The 9708-nt window shown below is 45.8% G+C and overlaps 1 long non-coding RNA gene across 1 annotated transcript; it reads right to left on the bottom strand.

The window, feature by feature from the left end:
- Positions 1 to 4840: 4840 nt before the first annotated feature.
- On the bottom strand, positions 4841 to 9252 carry AMANZI (a master non-coding RNA antagonizing inflammation). The gene has a single exon (NR_197592.1). It is a non-coding gene; the product is annotated as an a master non-coding RNA antagonizing inflammation (long non-coding RNA).

Here is a 9708-nt window from a genome sequence, read left to right as displayed (position 1 = left end):
GGGGTGGTGGTCCTGTGCCAATGGTAGCAACCACCTGTGAGGCTGAGTAAACTCATTTCCCAACCTCCTCTAGCAGCCCCAGTGGAGATACAGAGGAAGCAGACTAGCGATACAACCCAGCCTGAAGTTTTGTCTGGTGAGTGTAATGGAATAAAAATGGGAAGGGTGCTGAAGAGACCAGCAAGAAAATGGTTGAAGAGATGGGGCACAGAAATTAAGCTGGATCAAAAAGGACGGAAAAGCAGAAAGGGCCGATAGAGAGAGGGGATATCTATGGGTTCGCGATTCTGAAAAGGACAAATCACTGGTGCTTTGAGAAGAGAGAGGGTGAGAAAGCAGGAAGGCTGGAGGCTGTCATCCAAGAGGCGGACATCTGTGAACATGATTCCAAGAGTCACCAGACCATGGGGGTGGCCAAAGGGAGTGCCTCTTCTCACCTCCTACTCTTAATTCCTTGTACTCAAGATAATAAGTTCCCAGAAGAGAAGTACCCATATTTAATTCATCTGTGTCTTCCTAGCAGTACTAAAAATATTATATGAAAGGTATCAAACCTTTGAGAATGTGTGCTGCTAAATTGTTAAGGATGCTGGAAAACTCAAGACGTCCCTGATCCTGAGCCTGAGTATGAGCCTGTGGTGAGCCCAATGCAGGTCTCCATTCGGACAAAGGCCTCAGGGAACGGATGAGACCTAGGGACAGAGATGCATGCTGGAGCAGCATTCCCCATCCCTACTGCAGCTCAGGCCAGCTGACTGCTTTATGAGTAAACGTTACCAGGGAACACTTTGCAGTCTTAACACACATGCCCACCTGTGACCACTGATCCCTGTTGGGTGACCACTGACATCAGAGATTCGATGGCAGCAATGAAGACAAGGCTATCCTCATTAGGAAGGAAAGGAAGGAGGAGGGAGGAGGGCAAACGAATCTTTCCTGCTTGTCAACCACGTCCATCTCTGTTAGGTGATTTCCCATGTGTGACTTTGTTTATCTTTATAATAACTCTGAGAGGTAGGTCTTGATGTCCACATTTTGAACATGAGGACATCCAGCCAGGAAGTTGAGTTCTGGGGACATAGCTGAGAGGGCAAAGCTACATATAAACCCCTCTTTGTTTTTTCTGGCTTATCCACTGAGTGCCCCCTGCAATCCACCAGCCCATTTGTGAAGTGCATACTATAGGTAAGTTGGCACAGGAGGAGTGGATGTGGGCGATTTTGTCACAGCTCTCCAGGAACTTACACACTGGTGAGGAGGGCCAGGTATGTTCCTGACCAGTCACAATCAAAGCAACCTCCTACTAATCAGGGAGGCTTGGTACCTGGGGAATGCTATGTTGAAAGGTTCTTTTCTGGGTTTTAAAATGATGGGTCTATTTCCTTATTCTTAAGATTGCTTTTTTTCTGGCTAGAACTTAAAAGAAATTTTCAGTAAAATTTCCCTTCCCTGGCACAAAGTGAGCTTGAAATGAATTCCCAGGTGGCCTTGATACTTTAAAATATTGCCTCCTATAAAATCAACCTTTAGAAGAAGGAAGTCAAAGAACATGCTAGATTTCACAAAGGTTAATTCCTTGAAATCCAGTTATCTACAGGACAATGTTGTCAAAGAAAAAATTATTTGGCCAGGCACGGCGGCTCATGCCTATAATCCCAGCACTTTGGGAGGCTGAGGCAGGTGGATCACCTGAGGTCAGGAGTTCGAGACCAGCCTGGCCAACATGGTGAAACCCCATCTCTACTAAAAATACAAAAAAAATTAGCCAGGTGTGGTGGTGGGCACCTGTAATCCCAGCTACACGGGAGGCTGAGGCAGGAGAATCGCTTGAACCCGGGAGGAGGAAGTTGCAGTGAGCCAAGTTCAAGCCACTGCACCCCAGCCTGGGCAACAGAGCAAGACTTTGTCTCAAAAAAAAAAAAAAATTCAATGATATTTTTAAATTCATGGTAAGGAAGATTTCATTCAGAACCAGCACAGAAGATATAGGAAACACTGCAATGGGACTTTGCGGTGGGGGAGAGAGATTGAACACAACTACATATACAGCACGGGCAAGGACATATTCATAGCCAGGAAGCAGAGCAAAGATCAGTGGATGCGAAATTACTAAGAGGAAACATGAAAAATAAGGGAGCTTCTGCCTAAACCCACCTAACCGGATCCTTGCTGAAGACAGGACAGGGTGATTGGACACCACTTTGGGGATGGTGGAGGATGGGGAATCCAGTGAGATTTCAAGGGTGATCAGATATTGAACATAGAAGGTTCTTGCTAAAAAAGGAGTTTACAAGAAAGTGTACAAATGTGCCTGGGAGAAGGTTCAGGAGCCTGACTAAAATTTGGTCAAGCAGAGAATATTTGCCAAGATAATAGCTAAGTCTTCTGACAAACAATAGATGCTAAGCCAGCAAGGGTGATGTGCTCAGAGAAAGCACTGAGGGCTTATTTCCTTTTCCCCCAATCTCCACTCAGTCAAGTCTAGTCCCCTTGTCAATGTAGCCATTTGTAAGAATGCAATCAGGCAGGGTCCCATCTCCTAGTGACAGGACTGACTGAAGTTCTGCTGAAGAGAGTGGCCTGGGGCTGACACCGAGATTTCAGAGTCCTGGGTTTCGCCGAGAGCTCAGTGTAGTGCCATGCCCTCTCTCCACCTGAACGCCCAGTGTGGGCAGGAACAACTGCAGCTAGAAGTCTGGCACTTACGCTGGGGTCTAAGACCTGCCTGATCTGCTAACTAGTCTTGTCCCTTGGCTATAAACTGACGTTGGCACCTGGCCAGAAAGATGAGCAAGAGATCTCTGACACACCTTTAAGTCCCTGTGGAGTAGGATTATGTTGGGGAAGGTCATTCTCTTGACTGAGCAGCAATTTCAGAAGGAAGTCCCATGCAGAAGTGAGAGAAGGCAGGGAATCCTGCCTAGTCAGCTAGAGCAAAACAGTCTGCAGGACGGGACCCAGGGATGTGATCCTCCCATCCAAAGGCACTGAACTAAATGACTAAAATACTTTCCAGGGCTCACGTTCTTTGAAGAATGGGGACTAAAACTAAGACAGGAGCCAGCAAGTGAGGACTTGGAAGGAGATGGCTCATCTGATCAGCCTCCACTCAACAATTTTAATCATCCACACTGGCATGGGGACACAATATGAATAAGTTGACAGGGACCTACTCTGATTAAGCAGTGGGCTAGTGCAGAGACCTGTCAGTCAAGAGTGGACAGGAGATGATTTCAGACAGTGAGAACAAAATTAACAGAGTCATGTGCTAAAGGGTGGCTGGAACTACAGAGGAGTTTAAGACTCAAGAGGTCTGGCTGGGCGCGGTGGCTCATGCCTGTAATCCCAGCACTTTGGGAGGCCGAGGCGGGCGGATCACAAGGTGAGGAGATCAAGACCATCCTGGCTAACGCAGTGAAACCCCATCTCTACTAAAACTACAAAATATTAGCCAGGCGTGGTGGCGGGCACCTGTAGTCCCAGCTACTCGGGAGGCTGAGGCAAGAGAATGGCGTGAACCCGGGAGGCAGAGCTTGCAGTGAGCCAAGATTGCGCCACTGCCCTCCAGCCTGGGCGACAGAGCGAGACTCCGTCTCAAAAAAAAAAAAAAGACTTGAGGGAGTTGTTTATTTTTGTTTTCTTTTTAAGACAGGGTCTTTGTTGGGCGCGGTAGCTCACGCCTGTAGTCCCAGCACTTTGGAAGGCTGAGGTGGAAAGATCTCTTGAGCCCAGGAGTTTGAGGCCACTCTGGGCAACATAGCAAGACACCGTCTCTACAAAAAATGTGCAGGTTGAGGCTGCAGTGAGCAGAAAAACACCGCTGCACTCTAGCCTGGATGACAGAGCGAGACCCTGTCTCAAAAAAAAAAAGAAAAAAGACAGGGTCTCGCTGTGTCACACAGGCTGGAATGCAATGGTGCAATCATGGTTCACTACAGCCTGGAACTCCTGAGCTCAAGCAATTCTCCTACCTTGGCCTACCAAAGTTCTAGGACTACAGGTGTGAGCCACCACACGTGGCCTCAGGAGAGATCTTAATAATAAAAGGACAAATTGCCTTGTATCCCTTAGGGGCAGGATTGACACATCCAAGGATCAGGCAGAAAGCCTGTGCGGAGTGGGATGAGCAAAGAGAAAGGCTGAGAGCTGGGAAGAGGGAGATGCAGTGCCAGCTAGGACAGGGCCTTTTGGGCTATGGGAGGCTCTCAGAGGAGACCCCACCTAAACTAACCCATAACATTGCAGTGGGGACCTGTTGAAGTCATGGACTACTACCTGAAAGCCAGAGAAATGGGAGGAGCCTTTCCTCTGAGGAGGGACTCTAGTCCATAGGTATCTTGCCACCAAATACATGGACAGGCCCTGGGGGAAGATGGTGGTAGCCCAGCTGGAGGAAAACCATTTGCCACCTGAACTAGCCCAGGGTAAGCCACCCAGGCACTGAGGGTGCACACCCATGCATGCACACACAGAATCACACTCCTTCCTATTATTCCTCAATTCAGGGGTCTCAACACCCATTTTTTTTGTTTTTGGGGTTTTTTTTACATGTTTACATTTTATTTATTTATTATTTTGTGACAGGGTCCCACTCTGTTGCCCAGGCTGGAGCACAGTGCAGTCGTGCAATCATATTAGATTGGTGCAAAAGTAATCACGGTTTTTGTCATTAAAAGTTTTGCCATTACTTTTAATGATAAAAACCACGATTACTTTTGCGCCAACTTAATAGCTCACTGCAGCCTCAAAATTCCTGGTCTCAGGGAATCCTCCTGCCTCAGCTTCCTGAATAGCTGGGACTACAGGCACATGCAATCCTACCTGGCTAATTTTTTAAAAATTTTTTTTGTAAAGATAGAAACTCATTTTGTTGTCCAGGCTGGTTTCAAACTCTTGTCTTTGTGCCTCCCTCTGCCCTGTGCAAGACCTTCTGGATGCCCACTAATGAAGACTTCCAGGGAGAGGAAAAGTAAACATAGGTCCCTGATCAAGGGACCAGGGTTTATCGACCACAAACAGCATGCCCAGATTCCACTGGCAGTCCTAGAGGTCGCATTTGCCCCAAGTGTGTGTGGAAGGCCTCTCCCTAGCAGTTGGTTTATACACCAGCCACAGCACAGCATATTCTCTTAAATTGTGAACATTTGCAAAACCTCCTTGAGGACAACTATCATGTCTTGTGTACTTTTGTTTCCCTTCCCCTATGTACACGCACGCGCGCGCACACACACACACACACACACCCCTCAAACTGAATGCCTGGTGTGCTGAATGGATGAATGGCTAATGTAAGTCATTCTAAAAGCTACTTTCTTTGGCATACCATCACCTTTGATTTCATCTTTCTGGAACTCCTATGTTCCCAGATGAATTTGGAAAGCCCTCAGGAAACATTTCAAAATTGCTATATGGGAGAAATGGGAGGGTCTCTCTAGAAATTTACCTGCCACAGGTATTTCTGGTAAGACACAGCAAAGGTGGCACCACCCATTCCTCGTTACAATGTCAATGCCAGTCACCTTCCTGTCCCATAAAACTTTATTAAAGGTGCAGAATTCCCATGGAAGCAGGTGGACACCATCTGCTTCCAGCCAGCCAGGGGAGCAAGGTGTCCACTGTGCCTTTGTGGCAGGAACTGCGCTTCTCTACTCTCCCACTTTGAGGCCTCTGGGGCTGGCCTGCTGCCTCCTCATTGACAAGGCTGCTTACTGAGCAGTTCATTCTGAGCTGGACATAGTGCTTCTGGTGAGTCTCTACTTCTATTTAACCCAAAGATATTCTTTCCTAAGGAAACGCTTTCCTGTCGGGGGAGGTTAGCTCCAGATGGAAGTCACAAGTGATGGCATGGTAGCTCTCATCCGTTTGGGTGGATGATATTCACGGAGCACCACCATGAGCCAGTCATGGAGGTGAACAGTATATGCCAGCCCTGAATCAGGTGCATTGACAGCAAGGGAGACAAGCAAACAAAGCTGAGGTTTGCTGAGGATGTTCAAGACTCACACAGCACAGAGGAGCATCCACCACCCAGCTTGGGAAAGGACTTGTTATAGAGGGGGTGAAGCATGAGCTGAGTCTTGAAAGACTAGAAATTAGCCAAACTACAAGGAGGAGAAGGAGTTTCCAGTCAGGAAGAACAGGTTATGCAAAAGCACAGAGACTAGAAAGAATATCACATTCAAGGAACTGCAAATAGACAGGAAAGGTTGATGCGTGGGATAGGAGAGGAGGGCAGGGGATTCCAGGTGGGCCCTGCTTGCCACACTCAGGAGCTTGAACTTATCCACAAAGGAGATGTGGAACCAGTAATGAATGGGTTTTGTGCAAGGGCTTCATGTCACCAGATTTGCTTTTTGGAGATACTTCTGTGGCTGATATGTGAGGAAGGGATGGAGGAAGTTTCCGTGGCAATCAGGAAAACCAATTAGCAGATGATTCAAATGGCCTAGGGGAAAAGGGAGGAGGACTTGGACTACCATGCAGCAGCAGAAATGGAGAGAAATAACAGATCCCAGGCACTCAGGAAGCGCTCAGAATGAGCCCTTCAAAGAACTTATGGTAGGTGATGGATGGATGGAGTGTGAGTCCTGGGATAGCATTGCCTGGGAAAATACTTTCTAGTTGAGACAGGGAAGTGGGCCAGCAGAAATGGAGGGCTTCTTCTTTTTGCTTTAAATACTTTTATAATATTTGGAACTTTGAAAATGAGCAGATATATTAGCAAAAAGCCTAAAAGGGATATTTTTGAAATCACTGCTAGTTCTAACATATAACTTTCAGCTTGCACACATCATCAATTAACTTTGATAGCGCCTTTCTGAAACTATCATCCCAAATAGCAATCCTTGTAAAAACCTATTTTGAAAAACGGGCCTTGTAGGATAGCCTCACAGATGTTTTGTGGTAGATTTTCTAACATTCTAATGTCAGGGAGTGAAAGGAATCCCGTTAGAAGTTGGAAAATTCTGGAATCTCTATTCATGGTATTAAAGTTTTGCCGTCACACAAAAGTTTAACACCTTTACACAATCAGACTTCCTCATTTTACATTGCTCGGTAATTAGAGGAAATCAGTCACCCAGAGCCTGGGTCCTAGACTTGACAAAATGCACCCAACAAATCCTGAGTGGCCTTGCTGAGGACTTCTCCCAGAAGATAGAAAACTCAGTTCCAGCCAACAAGGGGGAAGCAGCTGAAGAAGTGAAATTAACAAAGTCCTGGAAGGAAATGACCAAATCATCTTTGATTGTGTAATAACCAGAGAGTAGAATACAGCAACGACAGACATTTTGGGAGAGAAGCATTTTATCATAGCTTTTAGAAGAGAAGTATTTTTCAGCATCATAAGCACACAATTCCAAGGACAGATACCTTCAAGGGATTGCTTTTGACAGTTATGACAAAGTCTTAAAGAAGAATAAAAGGACAAAGGAAATCCTCCAGCAACAAAGCTGCCACTTATAGATGAGAAAGTGAATGGGAATAAGGAAGAAACTCAGAAAAGGGAAGAGAGATCACTAAAAACCCTGATTTGGAAAGTCCCAGTACTACCCTGAGAGGAGAAAGAAACAAATTCACACAGCACGTCACCGCCAGAAGAAGAAAGGAGGGAAGACAAGGGAACAGAGAGGATCTCAATCCTAAAAGGACAATGTGGAAACATTTAGGGGACAGAGGTGAATCTGCCAGGCCAATGTAGTTTAGAATGTCACTCAATCACTGAGAATGAGAAAGGAGTCTGCCGATGGGCACCATGTGGACAGGAGATGAGGCAATAAACATATGTAACAATTAAAAGTGAGAAATAAAGATCTGGTTTTGGTTCAGTTAACCCATATTTGAGTCGTAGTTCCAGCATTTACTGTTTGTGCGGTCTTAAATAATTTATTGTCTCAACCTCAGTTTCTGCATAGGTCAAATGGTTCAATATTATCTACTTTAAAGGTTATTATGAAGAGTTAATAAGATAATGAGGGAAAAAAAGGTACCTGGCACTTAGTAGGTGCTCAATAAAGGACGGCTTTTTTTTTTTAAGTATTGCTTCTAAATTTGTATGTAAGAAAAAATGATATAATACAATGATATAAGACAGGGGACCGCAGGACAAGTCCAGCCACACCCATTCATTTATGTATTATCTGACTGCTTTTCTGAAATGATGCAAGGTTGAGTAGTTGTACCTGAAACATTTATTATCTGGCCCTTTACAGAAAATGTTTCCAGACCCTGGATAAGTGGTACCAGAGCCCCCTCTGTTTGTGGTCCCCTCTCTTATACCCACTAGGTGTGAGAAAAGACATAGAGTAGGAGAGCCCTGCCATCCATCTTACCCACCCAGGGGCTTTTTCTGATGGATCCAAAGGAAGGACAAGGTCTTATTGGTCTCCCAGAACTGACATAACAACTCCGACATCAGGGAAAAGCCATTGGAGACTACATAGCTCGCCAGCCCCAGCCACCTGCTCATATATCTAAGCCCTCCTTGTTCTAGACCAGGGAGGAGAATGGAATGTCCCTTGGACTCTGCATGTCCCCAATCTGAGAACCTGGATCCAAGAGGGAGAAGAAGCCCATTGGAGATGATGCCATAAAGGAAGTGGAAGCGATATGATAAAAATCATAGTGCCCATTCCCAAATAATCCCAGAAGCAGAAGGGAAAGGAGAGAAATATCCACAAAGACAGGTGTGGGTACACACAACATTTTTCATACTTTAAGATCCCAGAGGGACTCATGGAAATGATACAAGAAAATGACTCATAAGAACAAATATTAGGAAGCCAGTGCCAAGAATGAGATGGGAAATTGGGGAAAATGTTGGGGGCAGATTGCTTAGTTCTGTTCTAAGCAAGAGGGTGAACAAGGAAGGAACAGCTCACTACAAAGAACAGACATCACTGCATGTACACACAATAATATAAGAACTAACCCATGATTATTTTGCTTGTCTTCTTGTTCAAAATGATTGAAGACCAATGAGATGAGATCAACCTTGATAACTGGCTGCGAAGCCCATGATTAGACACAAGATGGTATCAGGGCACTTGCTGCTTTGAATAAATGTCAGTCTCCTGTCTTGGAAGAATGACCTGACAGGGTAAAGAGGAACTTGCAGCTGAGAAAGGCTTTAGTGACTCAAGAGCTGAATAATTCCCCAAAAGCTGGAGCATCCTGGCATTTCCAGCTCCCCATCTCTGCTTGTTCCACTTCCTTGGGGCTACATCACCATCTACATCATCATCACTCTTCCACTCCCTCCCTTAGTGCCAACTATGTTTATAGCGAGATATTTTCTGCTCATTGGGGATCGGAAGGAAGTGCTGTGGCCTGAGCGGTCTCCTTGGGAAGACAGGATCTGATACATACGTTGCACAACCTATTTGACATAAGAGGTTTCACTTCCTGAGATGGATGGGATGGTAGCAGATTTGGGTCCAGGTTACAGGGCCAGGATGAGACATGGCAGAACTGTGGAGACTGTTACGTCAGGGGGCATTGCCCCATGGCTCCAAAATTTCCCTCGAGCGAAAGCATCAGGGGCTCATGCAACCTGGATACTAGTGCTGCTTCAACCACACTGTGCTATTGGATGAGTCACTTCCACCCTCCTAGCCTTGATTTCTTCGTCTGCTGTTCACATTCAAATAGCTATTCATGTCTTCATCTCTGTGGTCCCACCATATCCCACCAGACAATCATTAGGGCTCC

This window comes from Homo sapiens, chromosome 2, assembly GCF_000001405.40.
Source record: "Homo sapiens chromosome 2, GRCh38.p14 Primary Assembly".
NCBI lineage: Eukaryota > Metazoa > Chordata > Mammalia > Primates > Hominidae > Homo > Homo sapiens.
This window is presented reverse-complemented; position numbering and strand designations above follow the sequence as displayed.